This window comes from Homo sapiens, chromosome 4, assembly GCF_000001405.40.
Source record: "Homo sapiens chromosome 4, GRCh38.p14 Primary Assembly".
NCBI classification, from domain to species: domain Eukaryota; kingdom Metazoa; phylum Chordata; class Mammalia; order Primates; family Hominidae; genus Homo; species Homo sapiens.
Genome location: NC_000004.12, coordinates 94,483,570 through 94,507,943, shown reverse-complemented (window position 1 = coordinate 94,507,943; position 24,374 = coordinate 94,483,570). Strand labels below are relative to the sequence as shown.

Below are 24,374 nucleotides of genomic sequence, written 5' to 3'. Positions count from 1 at the left end.
CCAGTTGAGCAAAGTCCATACCAAGGAGGGAGTGAAGGAGCAGAGAAGCAAGATTTTGGTTTGCCTGGCAGAGTATTTCTCCAGCACACTGTCTGCTGATTCATCCTCTCCCACTCATTACGTTAGTGCTTTGATGAATCAAATCACCTCTGCCCTTCAAAGTAACAGCCCAGAAGCACTCAAATATAAGGATAAGGCTAAAGCCATTTCTGTTAGAGAGAACAAGAATTCACTACCAGAAGTTGCAGGTAAATCTAGAATCCATTTAGGGCTTTCCTTGTGTACACCAAAAATTATCAGTACTACCAACTGTTGATAATTATTGAATGCTGAGACCAATATTTTACTGTAATCTTAAAAGTCAGAGTTAGATTAGTTTGCCATGAGGTTCCATTCTTTCAGCAAATGGTTAATGAGTGCCTTATATATATGAGCACATAACCTGTTTGATCTCACAGGTTCACAGCTGGAGAGCAATTTGCCTCAAGGTGAATCATAACTTGAGTCTCACCCATACCCGATTTAGATATTTAAACGAGACTCTGCACTTCAGATTTTCAAGTTGATGCTGGAACAAGTTAAGACTTTTGGGGCTACCAAGATGAAATGAATGTATTTTGCATGTGAGAAGGACATGAATTTTGGGACACCAGGGTGTATTAGTCAGGGTTCTTCAGAGGGACAGAACCAACAGGAGATATATATATATATCCCATATATATATATGGGAATTTATTGGGGAGAATTGGCTCACATGATCACAAGATGAAGTCCCACGATAGGCCATCTGCAAGCTGGGGAAGAAAGAAGCCAGTAGTGGCTCAGTCGGAGTTCAAAAGCCTCAAAAGCAGAGACGCCTACAGTGCAGCCTTCAGCCTGTGGCCAAAAGCCCAAGAGCCCCAGCAAACCACTGGTGTTAATTCCAAGAGTCCAAAGGCCGAAGAACCTGAAGTCTGAGGTCCAAAGGCAGGAGGAACAGAAGGAAGCATCCAGCGTGGGAGAAAGATGAAAGCCAGAAGCCTCAGCAAGACAGATAATCCCATCTTCTTCTGCCTGCTTTGTTCTAGCGGTGCTGGCAGCCGACTGGATGGTGCCCACCTACATTGAGGGTGGGTCTTCCTCTTCCAAGTCCACTGACTCAAATGTCAGTCTCCTCTGGCAACACCCTCACAAACATATGCAGAAACAATGCTTTACCTGCTATCTAAGCATCCTTCAATCCAACCAAGTTGACACCTAATATTAACCATCACACAGGGACAGAATGCTATGTTCTGAATGTTTATTCCCTCCAAAATTCATATATTCAAACTTAATCTCAAATTCAGTATTTAGATGTGGGACCTTTAGGAGGTGATCAGGTCATGAGGACTCCATCTCCATGAATAAAATTAGTAATATTTATAAAAGAGGCCTGAGGAAGCTTGTTAGCCTCTTTGCCCTTCCTCCATGTGAGGCACAGCTATCAGGTACCATCCTGAAGCAAAGTGAGCCTTCATGAGACACTGAATCTGCTGGCAACTTGATCTCAGAGTTCCCAGTCTCCAGAACTGTGAGCCATAAAATAATGTCGTTTATAAATTACCCAGTCTAAGGTATTTTGTCAATCATTTAGCTGAGACATCAAGAACATTACGTGCAATTCAGTATCAGAGAAACAATCACCATCAGAACACAGAAAGATCCATAAATTATATCATACTAGGAATTACTTTAAATATGATGGCGTTGAAAAGACTGAATTACTGTGTTTTACAGAGCAGTACTTCCCACACTTGGCTGATCAAAATCTGTGATACTATGAAATACATATTTGGTCCACTTTCCTAGCTTACAGCTCCTAAAATCCTTGAAATCTAATGATAGAAGTGTCTTTTGTATGCTAATGAGATGATAGTGGCTGGGGGCCCCAGGTAGCTTCAGGATGGAGGCTGGTCACCAGAAAGACCAAGGCATGATAAGTTTGGGACTTTCAGCCCCACCTCCAACCTCTAGGAAGGGAAGGGGGCTGAAGTTTGAGTTGATCACCAATGGCCAATGACGTAAGCAATCATAACTACATAATGAAGCCTCCTTAAAAACCCACAAGGACTAGATTCAGAGATCTTTTGGACAGCTGAACACCTGGAGGCACCTGGAGGGTGGCTCCCAGAAAGGGCATAGAAGCGCTGTTCCCCTTTTCATACGCCCTGCCCTGTGCATCTCTCCCATCTGGCTGTTCGTCTGTACTGTTTTGTAACATCCTTTATAATAAATGGGTAAATGTAAGTAAAGTGTTTCCCTGAGTTTTGTGAGCATCTCTAGAAAATTAATTGAACCCAAGGAAGGAGTCATGGGACCCAGCAATTTATAGCCAGTTGATCAGAAATATAGGTGACTTCCAGCCATGCGTGGTGGCTCATGCCTGTAATCCCAGCACTTTGGGAGGCTGAGGTGGGCAGATCACTTGAGGCTAGAAGTTCAACATCAGCCTGGCCAATATGACAAAACCCTATCTCTACTAAAAATTCAAAAATTAGCTGGGCATCATGGTGGCGCACAACTGTAATCCCAGCTACTCGGGTAGTTGAGGCACAAGAATCGCTTGAACCCAGGAGGTGGGGGTTGCAGTGAGCTGAGATCACGCCACTGCACTCCAGCCTGGGTGATGGAGCAAGGCTGTTTCCAAAAAAAAAAAAAGTGACTTAAGACTGGCATCTGAAATGTGGAGCAGTCTTGTAGGACTGAACCCTCAATCTGTAAGATCTAAGGCTATCTCCAGGTAGGTAGTGTCAGAATTGAATTGCAGTACACCCGGCTGGTGTCCACTGGAGAAATGACTGGTTGGTGTATGGGGAAATATCCCCACATGTCTATTGTCAGAAGTGTTGTGCTGAATGGTGTGAAAATAGGAAAAACACTTTGGTTTTATCCCCACCACCCCACTGCCCATCTCTTTAAAATCTCTCAGGGCACTGTTATAAAATTCAGACTATGCAAACTCATTACAAGAAACTTGGTTTAGAAAGTCTCAGTGAGGACCCAGGAATCTAATAATCCTCTAAGTAAGAACAGTGGTTATGAGTGCAAGTTCCAGAAAGAAAGATTTCAATACTCAGCACAGTTCAGAGTTTGGAAACATTCAGAACATTCCAAAAATAAAAACAGTCTTCAATGCAAAGTAATGAGATTCCTGGGTATGTCTAAACACAAGGCAGACAACCACAAGCCCTGAGTACTGAACAGAAGACATGAATCTGAAAATGAGAAACAGATTATGTATTTAACAAGTTACTGGTGCATAAATGACCAGACACAAGAGCACCATTACACAATTTCAGTTACATATGGTAGTCTTTCTCCATGAAAATAGCGTAACGGGCCAGGCACGGCGGCTCACACCTGTAATCCCAGCACTTTGGGAGGCCAAGACGGGCAGATCACGAGGTCACGAGACGGAGACCATCCTGGCCAACATGGCGAAACCCCATCTCTACTAAAAATACAAAAATTAGCCAGGCGTGGTGGCGCACACCTGTAATCCCAGCTACTCGGGAGGCTGAGGCAGGAGAATTGCTTGAACCCGGGAGCGGAGGTTGCAATGAGCCGAGATAGTGCCACCGCACTCCAACCTGGTGACAGAGTGACACTCTGTCTCAAAAAAAAAAAAAGAAAGTCGCACAACCATGAAGTTCTGATTCTCATTACACATCATAGTGATTTCAATCAGATCACAAACTTTTTTTTGCTTTTTTGTAGAAAATGCTATAAAATGAAATGTGAGCTTCAATCTAGTTAATAGGAACCTGGATTTATATTACTAAAATGAATAATAAACTTAATTTCAAAAGAAAATACTAAAATACCTTTCTATTAGACTGTGATAACACTAGTAAATGATTGAAACAAGGGAGTAGGAGGTCTCCTAGCCAAACAGAATTCTGATTATCCAGGGTATTGTATTATTTCTAAACAGGATATTTAAATTGTCCCATAAAGATGTAATAGTAATGACTCCAAATGGGAATAAAAAGATGTGATAGCTAAACACAGTCAATTTCCCTATCATTCTGCATATAATAAATGTAAGCTCACGTTAAGTAACTTGATGCTAGCCAAAATCACAACCTGCTATTTATGAGCTAACAGAAACAAGCAGAACACAGTGAGAATATAAAAGGGGTAGAACTCTGAGTGGTCAACAGTTAGATGTTCAAATGACCTTTCTTGCTTGTTTGATGGAGAAAAAAGTCTGAGGTATCAACGTTGGAAAATAAATCAGATGTTTGGGTTTTTTAAAATAGGACAATCATCAGAAACTAAATGGTTTGATTGGCAATGAAAGAAATCCTTCTGGTGGCCAAGTGACAGGCACATCGGAGGAGAAACTTGGCAGTTCTCTAAAATAAATTCACACATGAACTGGACAATATTACTGCTCTTCTTGTCCCAATGTGAAGCTCTACTATCAAAACCATCTTCCTACTACACGATGAGAGGCTATTCTAAAACAGTATTATTTAGGAAAAGTCAGTGAAAAATACCCAAGTTATTCAAAAATTCTACTGGCTAAAGACAGATTAAGAAATCCTCTTGCAGTAATAATTTAAACACTGAATTAATATTCAGTATCCAAAAAGTTATTTCAAATCGGAGTACACCAGTCACTGAATTATCGTCCTGAGTTTGCTCAGCAGTTTAAGCAGTTTAGGTGGTGAGGGAGATGAGGAAGTGTAGACTATATAAAGTAATTTGCTTGCCACCCTAATAATTTACCTTTCTATGCCTCTGTTTTGTGACTATCAGTTACAGGGGGACATGGGAAATAATTTAAGTAATACCCAACATATCCTATATCTCTAAACTTGAAAACAGAAAGACAATCATTACCAAAAATGTCTGTCTACGAATTAAAACCAACATTTTCAAAATAACAAACTAGAAAGGAAAAAACCTTACCAAAGCTCGCCCTGCAAAATATATGGCTAGTACCTACAGCAGTGGCAACAATCACAAAGATATCTATTTCAATATGCTTCCTGGATAGTTAGATGTTTTACATGTATTAACTTTTTTTTTTCTTTTAATGAGGTGGAGTCTCACTCCATTGTCCAGGATGAAGTGCAGTGGCATGATCTTGACTCACTGCAACCTCTGCCTCCTGGGTTCAAGCAATTCTCCTGCCTCAGCCTCCCGAGTAGCTGGGATTACAGGTGCATACCACCCCGCCCGGCTAATTTTTGTATTTTTAGTAGAGATGGGGTTTCACCATGCTGGTCAGGCTGGTCTAGCACTCCTGACCTCAAAAGATCCACCCACCTCGGCTTCCCAAAGTGCTGGGATTACAGGTGTGAGCCACTGCGCCCGGCCTTAACTTACTTAATCTCATAAAAATCCTATGGAGTAGATACTTTTATCCTCAATTTGTAACTGAGAAAACAAGATGGAAAGAACTTAAGTTGCTAGTCTAAGGTCACAGAGCTAAAGATCACAGGGCTGGGGCTGGAACCCAGGCAGTGTGACTCCAAAGCCCATCTCATGACCACCATGTGGGCTGCCGCTTACCCTACACATCATTGCCATCCTCCCTCCTGAGATAACACATTTGACACATTGCACATTTGATTCTTTAACAGTTGAATCCCTCAATCTCACTATCTGTTCTTCCTACTTAAATATAGTAGGCTGGATAAGTCAGGAGTTTTCACTCTCTTAAAGCCTAACTCTAGATGGCTGCCCTGATTAACTCTCGGTATGTCTCTTCTAGCTTCCAGGAGAAACACAGCTATTTCCAAACATCACACAAGCTTCAAAACAAATTTCCTCAGTCACAAATTCTAACCACCTAGACCAAAAAGGAAGAGAGAAAAGGAAGCAGAAGAAGAGTAGGAATAAGGGAAAAGGGGAGAGAAATGAAGAAAAAGAAGGAAACGAAGAGAGAAAAGTAGCAGAAAAGGCAGAGCCCCCAAAGTCCCCTTTCTTCATTCTATAAATCTCTGCAGTTCTCCTACTGAACCTTACTCCATAACCCCATTAGTAGGCTCATCCAGAGAGGAAAGAAGTCAGCCTTCTGAGTTTTTCTCCCATCCCTGATGGGTATCACTATTTCTTCCCAATATTTTTATTTTGGTGGGAAGATCTTCCTTGGTATGCCCTTGATGAATGATGATGGAAGTCTATCTCTGAGAAGAGGGAGGTTGGTTGAGTGAGGGAGGAATAAGAAGATCTCAAATATGATTGAAAAATGAAATAATATAGAGCACAGCTTCTCAAACTGTGAGGATTGTCAGTCTTTTAAAGTCTCCAATCTGTTTCAGGCTAATACTTTAGTAAAATACAACAAAAACCAAGTTATCAGAAAAATGAACTCTAAAAAACTATAAAATACAGGCCCCAAATTCTTATTATTAGATTCAACAGACATAAAATTACTGTCAAATTGCTATAAAAATTTCTAAATTCTTACTCTCAATTTCTGAACTTATGTTGTCATAAACTGACAAATCCACAGGCAGCACTTTGATTAGCACTACACTGGAACAGCAAAGACCATTTTTTATGCCCTCAATGCCATAAAATTAGGCAGGGTACAGTAGCTCACGCCTGTGATACCAGCACTTTGGGGGACCCAAGTGGATAGACTTTTTGAGCTCAGGAGTTTGAGCCCAGCCTGGGCAACATGGCAAAACCCCATCTCTACAAAAAATAAAATAATATTAAAAAGATTAGCCAGGCATAGTGGCACACACCTGTAGTCTCAGCTACTCAGGAGGCTGAGGTGGGAGGATCGCTTGAGCCTGGGAGGTCGAGGCTGCAGTGAGGTGTGTTCCTGCCACTGTACTCCAGCCTGGGCAAGACCTTGTCTGAGAAAAAAAAAAAAAAAGGCCAGGTATAGTGGCTCACACCTGTAACTCCAGCACCTTGGGAGGCCAAGGTGGGTGGATCACTTGAGCCCAGGATTTGGAGACCAGCCTGGCCAACATGGCGAAACCCTGTCTCTACAAAAAATACAAAATTAACTGAGCATGGTGACACATGCCTGTAGTCTCAGTACTGGGAAACTTGAGATAGGAGGACCATTTGAGCCTGGGAGGTGGAGGGTGCAGTGAGCCAAGATCACGTCACTGCACTCCAGCTTGGGAGACAGCCAGATTCTGTCTAAAAATAAATAAATAAATAAATAAATAAATAAAATCCATAAACTTTGAAAGAAATAAATTTAGAAAAATATTCTTCCTAGGAATATTACCAGGAAGGAGCAGACACGATTATCAGCAACTTTTTAAAAAGTCTTCTTTATACTTTGTATTTTAAAAATTAGAAGTAAATAAAAGAACTAAAAAATACTATTTTAGTTGCTATCACTTCTTTTATGGAAAATAAAGACCGGAATTCTCAAAACACCTTTTCTGCCCCTTTTCATGCTTTCTTTGTTCTTCTTCCCCTCTCTAGTCTGCCATCAATTCCCCAGTGAAAAAATGAAAAATGCCTGTATAACTTACATAAAACTTTCCTGAGGCCAAATATTGTGAATATCAATCCTCTAGTTTAAGACTTGGTAAAATGTTAACTGTTATATGAATATCCCTTTGGCTGAAAATGAAGGAATTCACAAATATTAATAAAGTTCACAGCTTTTCAAAAATTCTTACAAGGTTTCAGATGCTCTGAAAGGGGTTGCTTTTGCTAACAGGTGCAGAAACTTAATCAGAAAAAATTATACTTTGAGTTATCAAAGTACAGAGAGTCACCACTGTCAAAGTGATACCACTTCTAGATTCTCTACTATGTACAAGGTTTTTACATTAAAAGCGTCTGTCTAATGAAAGGAAATACATACAGTTCTTAAAATATATGAAAAGTATGGTCATGCTGGGTATCCTCAGGGGATTGGTTCCAAGACCCCCTGCAGATACAAAATTCTACAGGTGCTCAAGTCCCTTAATCAGCAGTCCGAACCTTTTTGACACCAGGGACTGGTTTCATGGAAGACAATTTTTCCACAGGTGGGTCAGGGGGAGGGGAGGATGGGTTACAGTTTCAGGATGAAACTGTTCTACCTCAGATCATCAGGCATTAGATTCTCATAACGAGCCTGCAACCCAGATCCCTTGCACGTGCAGTTCACAATAGGGTTCGTGCTCCTCTGAGAATCTAATGCCACTGCTGGTCTGAGAATCTAATGCCACTGCTGGTCTGACAGGAGGCGGAGCTCAGGTGGTAATGCTCACTCACCTGCCACTCACCTCCTGCTGTGCAGCCTGGTTCCTAACAGGCCATGGATCTGTACCCATCCATAACCCGGGGACTGGGGACTAGTGCCTTATATAAAATGGCATAGTATTTGTATATAACCTACACGCATCTGCCTATATACTTTAAATCATCTCTGGATTACTTGTCATGCTTAACACAATGTAAATGCTATGTAAACTGTTGTTATACAGTATTAGGTTCTTTTCTTTGTATTTTTTATTGTTACATTGTTTTTCTTCCAAACATTTTCAATCCACAGATGCAGAACCTGCAAATATAGAAGACTAATATAATATATATTTTTCACCTATGTGTTTGTTGTAGCTTTTGTTAGAACCTTATGAATATATGACTTATTCAATAAATAAATAAATGAAAGTTTCCATTTATTTCCAAGAAAGGGGTGAAAAAATACAGATAATTACTTTTTTCCTCCATTTTATATTTTTTCTCTCTTGTAATTAAATAAAGACCTGTGGTTATTGTAACAGTAAAATATAATATGCATGTCTCTTAATTATAAGAAAGACTTTATTTTTCAGAGAAGGCTTCGCTTTTTCCAGAAATATCTATTAACATAAATTATATTTTGGTGACCATTTGGTCTAACCAATCTTATCTCAAATTATTTTGAAAGTGTTCAAGTTCTCATTCATATGGTCTACTAAAGTAGACCACAATACCCAACCCTAAATACTTCCATAAAATAATTTGTGATTCACATTTTTACCATTAACAGCTACATTTTTACCGTTAACAGCTTTTATACCTATTGTTTGAGCAATCTGCTAAATGAGAATAAAATATCAGATAGTTATAATTATGAAGTCACATAATAAAGTAAAACAGGCTTTATAAAAAAATTTAATTGCCTTGTGAAAGGTCACACATGAAGGATTAAAGAACCTACTTTTCCAAAACACAAATGTGAGAGGAGGAGAAAAACCCTCAAAACTTTACTTATGATTCAGAGGTCTTCCCACCCACATCAGTTTCCCCTCCTCATCTTACAGTGGATGCACACATGCATTCATTCATTCTGTACACATCCATTAAGCATCAAAGAGGCAATGGGAAATGGCAATACAGCAGTGAACAACAACAACGAAAATGCAAGTGTTGCCTTGTGAAGTTAGTATAGAAAGTAATTAAATAATTAGTAAAATTTCAGTATTTAAATACAATTCTCATAAATGTGCTACTTCTTTAATGCAAGGTATTTTGAGAAGTGACATGCATGTCTCAACTAGTCTAGGAGTCAACCAGGTTAGTTCCTCAGAAAGTCCAAGTGTTAGCTAGGCAGAAAGAATTTCAAAAAGAAGACCCATATGTGTGAAAGTCGTGAACTGTGAATATGTCATTATGATAGCAAAAGTTTTTTAAATGAAATATGAAAACACAAAAGCATCTCTATTAAATAAATTTATTTTTCATTTTCAGCCATGGGTGAAAGACTTCTGCAATTACTCCTGGGGAAGTGATTTTAAATTTAGCCACTGAATTTAAATGAGGAATAAATGTTACAGTAGTGTCCCTCAGCAAGTACAATACAAATGAGCCCGCTTCTTAAAGCACAAATACTTGGTTTCTCAATGCTGAGCCCTGATCCGAAAGCCCAGGTCAATCCTCATGTGGATTACTGGCTGAATATCTAGGTTTAGCTAAGCAGTGAGAAAATAACTCTTTTGGTTCTTCAGAAAGGATTTTCCAACAACAACTGTAACAGTGTAGTTTTTCCTCTCAGGACACAGAACAAGTTAAAACTTCCCTTACAAACAGGTATCCTGAGTTCCTTCTCTCAGCATCCAAAGCCTTCTCAACAGCTACATGCTGTCCAGCACGTAGCTACCCATTCAATCTTGCAGTTTTAAAGAGACAAATGTTGGTAGCTCACAGTGGCCCAAAATCTCCTAAGATTTGAACTACAGGATGGCCCATTAGATATACATTCTAATGGGCAATATATCGTTCACACACAGTTAACACAAAACATTTCAGTTTTTTAAATGAAGCTGTTTCATTCTGTCTACATAATCTTTTTGATGACATGCACTGAAGACAAACCAAACTACAAACAGGCTTTAAGACAGAATAGTTCAAGTAGATGTTTTTTCCCTTTATCTCTCCAATAGCAATGTCAAGGTAGCCTCAGAAAGATATCTTAAAAGATGAGCATAATCAATTTATTTTTCCAAAATGAATTTTGTATTATAAAATCAATAATCATATCATGTTTTATATAGTTCAGTGAGTGTAAGTCCTTCCTCTACTTTTTACTTCTATTAGGATACTTATATTAGGTGTCTGAATTATTATTTTCACCTCTTTAAATAAAAAGTAGTCATTACTATTAGGATGAAAAATCAATTAATTATCTTCTCAACTTTAAAATACTAAGCAGAAAGATTTTACTGATCATAAGTATATTACTGTTAAGACATGCCCTCATAATGCTGAGCAACATCATTAGGGATACAAAAGCCATCAAGGAAAAGTGCTAATTCAATTCAATCCATTTACAATGCCTTCTTTTGAGATAGATAATACATAGGACAAAGAATCACATGTAAAGCAGCCTTCAAAAAATGAAAACTGCACCCAAGTATAGTCTTAAGCAATTCTTAGATCACAATTCACCCATTTGGTGTAAGCTTAAAAGTGTCAAACTTGCTTGGCATAAACCTTCTAAAATCAGGAAGTCTCAAATTTTAATGCCTTTTTATGCACTACCATCAATAAAAATTTACAGGGCAACTACACTATAATGAAAAACATAATTTTAGATAAATCCAATATTTCTGGAACTACTTCAATGTACAGGCTGTTATCTACTTATGCTCTCATTTTTAGGATTAAGTCAAATGGAACCTAAAATTAGCAGTGAATTGTCAGTTCATTAGGTCAAATGTGCATCTGGGCTGGGCGGGGTGGCTCACACCTGTAATCCCAACACTTTGGAAGGCCAAGGCCAGCAGACTGGAACGCAAGCCCAGGAGTTCTAGGCCAGCCTGGGAAACATGGTAAAACCCTGTCTCTACAAAAAATATAAAAATTAGCCAGGCATGGTAGTGCACACCTGTTGTCCCAGCTACTTGGGAGGTGGAGGTGGGAGGACTGCTTGAGCCCAGGAGGCAGAGGCTGCAGTGAACAGAGATTGTACCACTGCACCCTAGCCTGGGCAACAGACTGAGACTGTGTCTCTTAATTAATAAATAAACAAATAAATAAATAAAGTGTGCATCTGGCAAACTGTTCACCCAGATATTTCCTGGGCATTAGTCTGTTGGCGAAAGCAGCCCCCAAATGATTCAACCTAATGCATTAGTGATATTCAAGGTATAAGAGGAATAAAGCAATCCCCAGATTTCACTTGGAAAAAATCTTGTACTGATCATCATTAAAATGACCTCTAATATATTTATCAATTTAATAAGACTTCCAGAAGAATTCTAAAATTATTTTTTTACCTACAAAATAAGTAATACATTCATTTCTACTTAACAGTCAAATGACTCAAATTTTTAAAAATTTCCTAGACAATTGGTTATATGTAAATCATCTGTTTTTGCTACTTGATGAACAAATCTGTAAGCCTAGGGTAGATGGACAAATAACTACAATGCCAAACCTTGTTTTTTGGTTTTTTTTTTTGCTAGAAATGTCACATATTCTTTAATGAAGCTGACTGTGAAGTCCCCATTCCTCTGAATTGAGGGAAATTCAATTTTAGCCATTGTTAGAGTTTTCTCTCCTCTCTTCCCTCTCCCAAGGACATATAAAAATCCTTAAGTTCCTCTGCATAGCAGGCTATTCAGGAAGACCCCTCTGGCAACTGGTCCATGGTCATCTTTCAAACTGACTGTCATCTTTCAAGCTCACACAGCTCCATGAAAATTGAAAACTCTCTGCAACTACATCATACGTGAGTTCAGGAACTTCTGCACCTGCAAGCCTTGCTTCTGGTGTGTACCCCCCTGGAAAGCATGAGCCATTCCTCACTGGGGGCCTCCTCCCTCCCTGGAATGGTTTAAGGGAGTGGGGCTCTGTCCTTAGTAATATGCATCATGATCTTCTTACCATTCCAGTTACAGCTCAGAAGTCACTTCTGCAGGGAGGCCTTCCCTGACCACAGAGCATACCATGCCTGTTCCTAGCATATGCATCTTTATCTTCAAAGCGGCCAAACCTTTTTTTTTTTCAACTAAGCTCCATTTTAATTTTGTCATTCTACCTAACAGGAGATGTTGTTAAGGTCAACATCTGATAGACAGTTACTGCAACTTAAGAAGTCTTAAGAAAAATTTAAAAGTAAAGTTTAACAGGATACTTTACAATTTTAAACAGTAAAATACCATGCTTACACAGTTGTGTCATTAGATAGTATAAAACTCGGAAACAAATAATTTTAATATGTGTGTTTTTGTCATGTATGTTCACAAACACAAGTAGAACCTTTAGTATAATCCTAGTAAGAGTATGATCACAATTAACAAGCTTTTAAAGTTGAACACAGTATTACTATGAAAGATATACTGTAGAATATAATACTGACGGGAAACCTGATTTGGTCCAAGCATAAAGTTAGTGTTAAGGAGAACCACTATTATATGTCAGAAACAGTGGTCAGTTCTAGAATTCAGTGACGAATATATAAAACATGGTCGGGCCGGGCATGGTGGCTCACGCCTGTAATCCTAACATTTTTCGGAGGCCAAGGTGGGTGGATTGCTCAGGAGTTCAAGACCAGCCTGGGCAACAAAGTGAAACCCCGTCTGTACTAAAATACAAAAAAATTATCCGGGCGTGGCGACGTGCACCTGTAATCCCAGCTACTCGGGAGGCTAAGGCAGGAGAATCGCTTGAACCAGGGAAGCGGAGATTGCAGTGAGCCGAGATTGCACCATTGCACTCCAGCCTGGGTGACAGGGCAAGACTCTGTCACAAAAAACAACGATAGCAAAAAAACTGTGGTCAGGCACGGTGGCTCACATCTGTAATCCCAGCACTTTGGGAGGCCGAAGCAGGTGGATCACTTGAGGTCAGGAGTTTGAGACCAGCCTAGCCAACATGGTAAAACCCTGTCTCCATTAAAAATACAAAAATTAGCCGGGCATGGTGGCAGGAGCCAGTAATCACAGCTACTCAGGAGGCTGAGGCAGGAGAATCGCTTGAACTCAGAAGGCAGGGGTTGCAGTGAGCAGAGATCACACCATTGCACTCCAGCATGGGCGACCAGAGTGAAATTCCGTCTCAAAAAAAAAAAAAAAAAAAAAAAACAAGAAAAAAAAAATTAGTGAATGCTCAGGATAAACTTGTATTTAGGTGTTGAAACTGAGAAAGATTTCATTAAGAAGGGCCATATTGATTGAAGCCTTAAAAAATATACAGAAATTTCAAGGTATACATGCAGAAGCGCATGAAGAAATGCAGCTATAAGTCTTGGCTGGGCACAGCACCTCAAGCCCATGATCCCAACACTTTGGGAGGCTGAAATGGGAGGACTGCTTGAGGCCGGGAGTTGGAGACCAGCCTGGGTAACAGAGCAAGACCCCATCTCCACAAAAAAATAACAAAAACAATAATTCACCATGCATGGTGGTGCATGCTGATAGTCCCTACTACTCGGGAGGCTGAAGTGGGAGGATCACTTGAACCCAGCAAGTAGAGGCTACAGTGAGCTACAATTACACCACTGCACTCCAGCCTGGGTGACACAGTGATATCCTGTCTGGAGAAAAATAAAAAAGGCTTAGCAATACAGGAGGAACATGTATTAGAGGGAGAGAAAAATTACACCAACCTGCAAGATATGAAAGTAGTCTGGAGTCAAGTACGTAGTCAAAATCTAATGTATACAGTGAGAAGGCAGATTACAATAGTCTATGAAAAATGTACACTTCTAAACATTTTTCTGACTCTTAAATGCTCCCACTGTTGGAGTATAATCTTTCTTGAGGGCATTTTAGCAATAATTATCAAAAAATATAAAAATACATAAACTTTTGGCCCCAATAATTATACCTCTTGGTTTACCCTAAGGAAATTAACAAATAAGACTGCAGAATATTTAAAGCAGCAGCTTTTATAATACTAAATTATCATCTTTATGGTATAGAGTTTTAAAAATTATCATACATTCAAGAAATTATTATTCAGCAATTAAAAGGGTCATTGAGACTAACCTGGGCAATATGATGAAACTCCGTCACTACCAAAAAAATTTTTAAAAATTTATCCAAGCATGGTGGCCCAAACCTGTAGTCCCAGCTACTCGGCAGGCTGAGGTGGCAGGATCATGTAAGCCCAGAGACAGAGGTTGCAGTGAGCTGAGATCTCGCCACTGTACTCTAGCCTAGGTGACAGAGTGAGACTCTGCCTCAAAAAAAAAAATCCATCAAGAAAATGAAAAGATAATCCACAGAATGAAAGAAAATCATGTACATGAAAAGGGACTTGTATCTAGAATATAGTTTTAAAAAACTTACTACTCTATAATAGAAAAATCATAATTTTTAAATAGGCAAAAGATCCGAATAGCAATTTCTCCAAACAAGATATACAAATGTCCAATAAGCACATAAAAAGATGCTCAATATCATTAGCTATCAGGAAAATGCAAATAAAAGCACAATGATACCACTTCATGCTCACCAAGATGACTACAGACAATAACAAGTGTTGCCATGTTATATGGAGAAAGTGCAGCCCTCATACACTGCTGGTGGGAAGTTAAAATGGTGCACCCAGTTTGGAAAATAGTCTCATAGTTCCTCAAATAGTTAAACATAGAATTACCATATGACCCACTAATTCCTCTCCTAGGTCTATACCTAAGAGCAATAAAAATATCTGTCAACACAAAAATTTGTGCACAAATGTTCACAGCAGCAGGATTCACAATAGCAAAAAAGTGGAAACTACCTAAATGACCACCAACTGATGAATGAATAAACATATGATAACACAATGGAATATTATTCTGCAATAAAAAGGAGTAAGAAACCGGTATTATGCTGTAATAAAGATGAACCACAAAAACATTATGGTAAGTGAAAAAAGCCAGACATAAAAGGACACATATGATTCCATTTATATGAAATACCCAGAATAGGTAAATCCGTAAAGACAGAAAACAGACTGATGGCTGCCAGGAGAAATGGGGAGTAAATACTCAATGGGTACCAAGTTTCCTCTTGGAGTAATGAAAATGTTTTGTAATTAGATAGAGGTGGTCACACAATACTGAAAATACCAAAATGCCACCGAATTATACACATTAAAATGGTTAATTTCATGTTATGTAAACTTCACCTAAATTTTAAAAACTACCACAGTGCATGCACACTGCATGTGGAAGATCCTAATAAATTCATTCCAATCAGAAAGAGAGAAAACAGGATGGGGAGAGAAAAAAAAAAGAGAGGAAGTATAATTCAACACAAACTCAGTTAATTCCAACACATTCTCTTATAATAAAAATGTGGAGTACCTTTCAAGCTAGCAAACACATTGAAGATCCTGCTTCATAAATTTAAATTGGTCCTCTCTCTTATCCATTAACTCATGGGAAATGGGAAAAGAAAAACAATTCTTAAAGCTGAAAAAAGTGTATCAGCATTGACTATTATACAAATTACTTTTAAAGGAGGACATTGAGGGGAGGGAATAGGGAGTTACTGGTCAAAAGATACAAAGTTTCAGACAGACAGGAGAAATAAGTTTTGAGACCTATAGCACAGCAGGATGACTACAGTCAATAATAACGTATATTTGAAAAAACTAGGAGAATAAACTTCAAATGTTTCACCACAAAAAAAAGATAAGTAATTGAGGTAGAGGGATATGCATTAGATTGCATTAATCATTCCACATTGTTTACATATATCAAAACATCACATTGTACTCCATAAGTATAGAATTAAGATATGTCAATTAAAATATTATTTAAAAATGAAGGGAGAATATTTTAAAGTAGGTTAAAGATTTCTATCATATTATAAAAATGATATTCCTTCCTTTATCTGATTCCGGCACAAGAAACCCCTAACTTCCATGAGTCAGAGGTGATAAAATGCACATTCACCTTACCAATGCTGTAAAAAAAAATCAACACAGCTGATGCTTCTCAGTTGTAAAGGCTGTGAAACTTACTTTTCATTGAAAATCTCGAAAGGCATGAAAGAATAGCAGCATAATATGAAAGTGATGAATTCATCCAGTTAACAAGGCCCTAAAAGATACATTCCAAAGAGATTATTCAATATTCAATTTGTTCTCAGTCCAAAAAGGAAAGGAAACTGTCCCAGGATTTAAATAGAACTGGAAATAGTAAAAGGTTCTATAATATGATAATGTTAACTCTAAAATATTAGATAAGGATAATCAATGTCAGAGTTAAAAATCTCTGGAAAGAAATGATTTAATCAAACACCTGAATACCTCAAAAGCTTAGAAGAAGGTTAAGTTTCTTCTCTAAAGTACAAATGCTAGGTGCCAGTTAAATCAATCCCCTTAGCAGTCGGAATCAGCATTTGGCTTTGCTCTGAATAAGGTGATGATCATCAGTTTTCCCACAATGAAACAGTGACTGTATCTCTCAATTAATATATCAAAGATTTCTGTTAGTAAACACAAACAAGGTCCACACTAGCATATGAAAATTCCCAGTGGGAATAGATATGTTGCTTTATGATAGAGGTAGGGTATAATGAGTTTTTTGACAAATAAAGTTGTATAAGAAACAATGGTATACAGTCATTTTATATTATAGTACAAAATTCACATTCACATAGCAGTATAAAAATAACTAGTCATGGAACTGAAAAGTATATTAAGAAAGCACTCCTATGCTCTTCTGGGTAAACCCAAATTAATTTATTGAATTACTTATCATTGCAATTTATAAAAATTGTCATTTAAAAGTATTATTTAACTTCTTGAATCATCACTTCTTGAATAATCTCTCAATTCACATTTGGATTATGTGATTAGCAGAGGAGCCACAACAATTTTTGTTTAATCCTAAATTGGCTTCTGCTATCATTTAACATTTACACAATTATCAGAAATGCTGACTCATTTTAATACCAGCCTACATTAAACAGGATAATAAATAAGAAACTAAAGAAAAGTTTTAAAATGAGAATACATGAAATATCCAAAATCAATTAATTTGACCATCAAGTCCTTCGAGTCACCAAACCAATTCTTTTTCCACTGTTATATGGAAGGATATAATCAGTAATTTTCAGTAATATGAATAAATAATACATAGTGTATGGAATATAATTCTAGTTATTTTACTTATAAGTCTTTAATAAGCTTATTTTTATTTTAATTTTGAGAAGAACTGAATAGAAAGCACATTTGCAGCAGATATCAAGGGTTAAAATATTTATAATGCAATCTAAAATCATTAGATATTATTTTATACAGAAACAAGTATATAGAAAACATTCATAAAGAGTTTATAATATTTTAGTCATTGTTGACAAAAATGTTTACATTATTTTGAAATTGTTTATTAATTTTAACTAAAATTTGCATACAAATTATTACACTCAATAAGATTATACCCCCCACAGTTCATATTTGATTTTTTATTTATAGCCACATAAAAATATATATTAGGCAAAAAAAAACCCACAAAAACATTCATTTAAAAATTTCTGGATATAAAAAATAATTACAATATCAGTAGAAATTCTGATGCATAAATATGTTACATCAATATGATAAATGTCTATACGTACTGACCTGGACACATACCCATGATATATATTAAAGAAAAAAAAGAAAGCTGCAGAACAACATGTATTTGTGGGGGAAGTTGGAGCATATTAGAGCAACCAAATGAAGACAAAAGTGCTGGAAAGATTACATATGGGAAGCAGGAAGGCTGGAAGAGGCTGAGGAAATTTTATTTTATTTTATTTTTTAAATTTTGTAGAGATGGGGCCTTCCCTATGTTGCCCAGGCTGGTCTTGAACTCCTGGGCTCAAGCAATTCTTCCACTTTGGCCTTCCAAAATGCTGGGATTATAGGTGTGAGCCACTGTGCCAGGCCTTGTATTTTTGTATATTCCTATACTGTTTTAATATTGTATAAATATCATTAAACCTTAAGTTTTAGATAAATATTTTTATATTTATATATATGTCATAAAAGAGATGTAACCAGATACTACTCAATATTCTGAATATTCTGCACCTAATTAGTAAGGATCATATTATGACAAAACCACAAAGCAACAAATGTTAACTGCCTGACAGTCAAACTCTAAAATGACTTCATCATTTATATACTACTCAGTATTCAAATACAAGTGTCTATCCAAAGTATGTATAATATACATGTATATGCATTCCAAAGAACTGCATGTTGTGTAACCTAAGATAATTCATCAAGCATTCCCACACCCTGTAAAGTTCCAGAACCAGGGACAAAGTATTCCAGACTGACATAGATAGGCCCGGTTCACAGCTGCTAACACAGCTACTTGTCTCAATTAGCCATTCTATTCCTCCATGATTAAAAATAGACAATATACTATTAAAGACGGCCCATATACTACGCAAGAATGAAGGAGTGCCAAATCTTCCAGGGCTACTTATAGTTCATCAAAAGAAGAAAACACACCTTTATGACCATTCCAAAAGGAGCATCTTCTGGAATGCCTAACTGTTAATGGGTGGCGTACAAAGTAATTCTTCCTGCAAAATTACTTTCCATACAAGGAGATGAGCTGTACTCCCAGCTGACTTCACTTCCGTAGTACTGCTACCTCACCTTACTCATGGAGAAATAATTGCCTGTAAGGCAGATCCTTTACGGCATTTGCTTTAGTAAAGATTGAAGCACTTTATGATGACTAAAACAGTCCAATAAACAAAGAGGGTGGAGAGGGGGAATGTAAAACACATGCTCAACCAGGAACCCTCAAAAACACCTTCAGGCTAAACTGCAACTGGCATTGCTGAAGATCTGACTCGAAAAGTAGAAACACTTTAAAATGTGTAAGTGTTCTATTTTAAATAGGTACAGAATCAGGTTTTTATGGATATGTGTTTTCTTATGTCTTTTACTTAGAAGTGAAATTTTTGTATCAAAAATAACAAAAGATGTTTGTTCCATGGCTACTTACGGTATGCATTTAAACACAAAGGTATGGTTTAGAAGTGACACTCATTGTTTTTAATCTATTCAAAGTAGAAGCAAGTTATTTTAAGAATATCATGGTTTACTTTAAAAAAATTATTTTTCCATTTATAAAGAGCTTTAGGAAAGTGTGACTAAAAAGTTAACACCTATGAAAGGAGAAAAAAAGATTTTCCCAATAAAATGGAAGTAATAAAAATTGCTAGGAAACTTGAAAATGAATTTTGTAAGTCATATAAGCACCATTAAAGGAACAGCAGCTCTTTGGCTATTCATTAAAAAACAGATCATTTCAATTCAAGAATATTAACTAATCCAAGAAAAGTACTTTCCACAAACATTAAACACTCGTGTAAAATCAATCTAAATGTTGATTTCACATGCAGAACCGCCATTCAGCAAGCTGGACTGCATCAGTGTCAACAACAAATGCCTGTAGTGAAAGATGCATTCACCAAAAGGAATGGGTTAATTCAGCACCATAATATTAACACAAACACACAACTTAAAGAACTTGTGTGGGAAGGTGGGGGAATCTAGGAAGGCTCAAAAACAGTATTTCTCAAACATTTGTGTCCTTAAATCACGAGTACTGCTTCTTAAGACCCACTCCCTAGTCCTAATATACTAATTAGGTAAATCTTGAATAAGGCACAAGAATCTGTGTTTTTACTAAGATATGCAGGTAACTCCGATACAGGTAAACCAAGCAACGCTGTTCCAGAGACTCCTATACACCCTTTCAAGTTTCTTAAGAAACACAAATGGCCTATCCACAAGCACACAAATGCCTGAATACTCTCACCACCACCGTAGGAATGATTCTGTGCTACACAAAGTCAAGAAAGCAATTCCTGAACACTTGTAACATGTCACCAGTAAGCACCATGAAGTCTCCATTCCTAATGAATATTTTACAGGGAGTACAGGCAGGCTGACACTGTCAAGGAGAAACACAGCGACTTTTCGGATGTATATAATATGCCATTTTTCTCAATGCCTTTCACCTCTTAAGGAATGGCCAGGCTGCAAGAGGTGTGAAAGCTGCTAACTATACACAGAAACCTAATTGTAAATTGAAGAACATATCTGGATGCCAGGTTTTCTTCAACTTACTGCTCAGGAGGACAGAGGTCTTGAATCATTTGATTCTTGATGATATCTTACACTCAAATTACATTGAAATTATGCTTTTTTCTCATAACTTCTTTATTCCAGCTGGTCAAGTTCTTCACTGGTCAAGTCTACTGACAAAATCTATATAGGCAGCAGAGGGGCAGCACTGATACCTTTTAATAACAAGGTTGTGATATGAGATAATGTAACAAAATATTTTTAGGCAGCAAAATTAGGGTTACATTCAGCTGCCCATAGCAAAAAACCCAAAAAAGAATAGTTGTTATTTTCTTCAAGTTAAGAGAAGTATAAATAAAAGAAACCAGCCCAGGGCATCTCCCCAATGACATCATTGTCACAGACTCCCTTCCTTCTATTCAGCCACCCATGTACATAGATTTTATCTACTTTTTATTTTATTTTAATTTTTTAAGAGACAGGGTCTTACTCTGTTGCCCAGGCTGGAGTGCAGTGGCATGATTATAGCTCACTGCAGCCTTGAACTCCTGGGCTCAAGTGATCCTCCTGCCTCAGCCTCAAAAGCAGCTGGAACTACAGGCATAAGTCACCACACCTGGCTAATTTTTTAACTTTTTTGTAGAGACAGGGTCTTGCTCTGTTGACCAGGCTGGTCTCAAATTCCTGGCCCCAAGCAACTCTCCTGAACTGGCCTCCCAAAGTGCTGGGATTGCAGGCATGAGCCATTGCACCTGGCCTAATCTGTTTTTTTATTTTCACATATGGTAGCAAGAAATTCCAAGCATCGTGTTCACTTCCCAGAAAGGAAGAAGGAAATCAAAAGGGAATGGAAGAACACTTGACTCAGGGAAATAGAAATACTCCTTAGTAAATACCACTTAGACCGCACTGCAAGGAGTCTACAAAGGCAAATCTCCTAGGCTGGCACACTGCCACCCTCAAAAAAGTACAGTACTTCTAGTAAGAAAAAAGGGGATGAAAAGTATCTGATAGGCAAATTGCAGTGTTTGTCACACAAAACTTTCTTATGAGAAAAGCTATTTCAGCATTTTGGTCTACAGAGCTCACTTACAGTCTAATATTTCAATGTATCCTACTCACAAAAGATCTTTCTCTTATCTCCTGAAACTTAACCCTATAAATAAGAGAATGTTTATGTAGAGGCTACATATAAAACCTTGCCTAACTTACCAAAAGCTAAAGGATTTTTAATAGTATCCTTTATTATTTGGTTATATCTCCAAATAACAACAAAAAAAAATGTGTACACTATTTTGAGGAAAGAAATGCTAATACTAAGTTAGATGTTCACAGACGATAAGCTACAGGTCTGTACTGAGTGGTTGGAACATAAGAATTTTAACTAATATCCTGGTGGCAGAACTTAGATGTATAGGATTCATCTAAGGAATCTCAAAGAAATGCACTGAGTCCCCAGTTCCGCCTTCCTGATCGTGAGGGGGGCCTTTGAGACCTCCTCTTCATCCTGAGTCCCAATTCGTAATTGACTGACCTTTCACCACACCGATGTCACATGATTTCATGTTTTTTAAAAGGTAAAAGAGCCATCAGAGATAATATTTCTTTTTCTTTTTTTTTTTTTTTTTGAGACGGAGTCTCACTCTGTCACCTAGGCTGGAGTGCAGTGGCGCAATATTGGCTCGCTGCAACTTCCGCCTTCCAGGTTCAAGCGATTCTTCTGACTCAGCCTCCTGAGTAGCTGGGATTACAGGCACATGCCACCACGCCCGGCTAGTGGTTTTTGGGGTTTTTTTTTTTGTATTTTTAGTAGAGACAGGGTTTCACCATATTGGCCAGGCTGGTCTTGAACTCCTGACCTTGTGATCCGCCTGCCTTGGCCTCCCAAATGCTGGCATTACAGGCATAAGCCACCGCACCCAGCCAATAATATTTCTTATGGATAAGGTTTATGAACTAAACAGAACTCCATGCGGTTCACTCACTTCACATAATTTCTTAACTACATATATATTACATTGGCCATGCAGTGTGTGAAATACTTTCATTTATAGACTAATCATATTGCTTGATGACATAGCTGTAGCACAATAATAATATGTAATCAAAGGGAGACATACTGTAGTCAGAATCCTACGGTGCTAACACGAGTAAATGGTGAAAGTGTTAAGAGAAATGAACTTGGAAACTAGAAGGGATTGGTGAACAGGATAGAAGAATTTGGCAAGAGCCAAACAGACAAAAGTAGAGATCTGTACTTTCTTCTGTTCTTATACAGATGATTGCCATTAGTGTCTATCAAGAAGTAACAGATATCCATTACACATGTATTTGACTTGTGACTCTGTTCTCAAGACATTAGTTTCTCTTTCCCCCTTCCCCTCCTTTCCTTCCCAACACCTCTCCTCTTAATACCAGAAACACACGTGATGGAGGAAAGTCCCCTCATACCCACCTACACTCTCTTTTATGTAGTCATGTGACTAGTCACATGAGGTTTCAATAAAGCTACCCATGACAACTTATTGTCCAATTACTCCAACATAGACGCTCCCCATGTCAAGATAAATATTAGGAATATGGTCTTGTTCTGTATATAATATCAAACAATTGTAACTACTCTCCTCAAAACTCCCATGGTACTCTATTATTCTCTATGATAGCATTTCTATAACAGAAGCCTAGTGATCTGAAATAAACTATCCAAGCTTATATAGCTAAGGCAGTAAATAGCACTAGGTCCAGAACATCCGACTTCAAACCCAGTGTCCTTTTAGTACAGTATAACACAAACCCCTACATGGTTCTTAATATCTCCTCTGACTGGCTGTGTACCTATGGACAAACTACATGATTTCTCTGGGCTTCCCTCAGTCTCCTAGTTTGTAAAATGAGAATGATAATTCCTTGCAGAGTGACATGAGATACAAATAAGAATGCATGTAAAAGAGTTTTCTTAAGTTATTTTCAGTATACTTATTCTGACATATAAACAAAGATAATCCATATGTTACATAGTTATATATAGTGATCCACGCAAAGTAAATTAATAATTCTATTTGCCTCCAAAGTTCGTATTTTCAAATTATTTAATTTAATGCCTTCCTCACAAATTTTTTAAAACTTCTTAGAAATTCACTTTCTTCTTAATTTTAACATCTTCAAATTTAACTTTCCCTAAAAAAGAAAGAAAAATGTTTTCAGCTATTACTTAATTCCATTTATCAACAAAAAATATTATTTCAATGGGAATCCAGAAGCCGGGTCCTGTTTTTATTTGTTCCCCTGTAAAATTATATGTCACATGTAATGGAATCTGAACCTGAAAGATAAAAATGCTGAGTTGGCTGAACCATGATCTCAGATTGGTAACACACTTCACTAACAGCGTGCTAGTAAAACCATACTTTGCACAGAATGTACCTTGTTTCTGGAGACATGCAGGAAACGTATCTAAGGTCTCAAGTGTCTCTCTTGGAGTAACTGATTGAATTTCAACACGAGAGGTAAGTGGAGGGAATAAAAAGAAGAGGAGACATTAATATTAAATCAGTGTATCCTAATATGTGGTCAGGATTATTTTAGATGGTACATGAATGAAGAATTGTACTAAGATAAATATAACAAAGACATCAAATCCATGATTCCATAAATGTGAAGATTAGAATGATAATCAAGTATGAATTTTAACTTTAAAAGCAGGGTAATAATCATGAAAGTAGTAAGCAAATGACATATCTGGGATATGGAAATAATCACGAACGGAATAAACAAATGACAAATCTGTAAAACACGATGTTGAACCATCTCTATTTTTCCATATTAAAATTATCCCTCAGAAAATTATTTTATCTAATTCAAATGACCAAGTTTCTTTAACATAAAACTGCAAGAAATAAAGTACTACA

General features: G+C 37.5%; 1 protein-coding gene across 8 annotated transcripts in view, besides 1 other annotated feature; it reads right to left on the bottom strand.

The window, feature by feature from the left end:
- PDLIM5 (PDZ and LIM domain 5) overlaps positions 1–24,374 on the bottom strand; it is a 216,282-nt gene that overhangs the window by 160,280 nt on the left and 31,628 nt on the right. The gene's annotated exons all lie outside the window — the stretch shown is intronic.
- Positions 11,159–11,347: a silencer, noted in NCBI's record as "fragment chr4:95417748-95417936 (GRCh37/hg19 assembly coordinates)". NCBI's record gives its function as "represses an EF-1alpha promoter that drives an FKBP-Casp9 reporter gene in an ReSE screen in K562 erythroleukemia cells {active_cell/tissue: K562}" and the evidence as "EXISTENCE:reporter gene assay evidence [ECO:0000049][PMID:32094911]".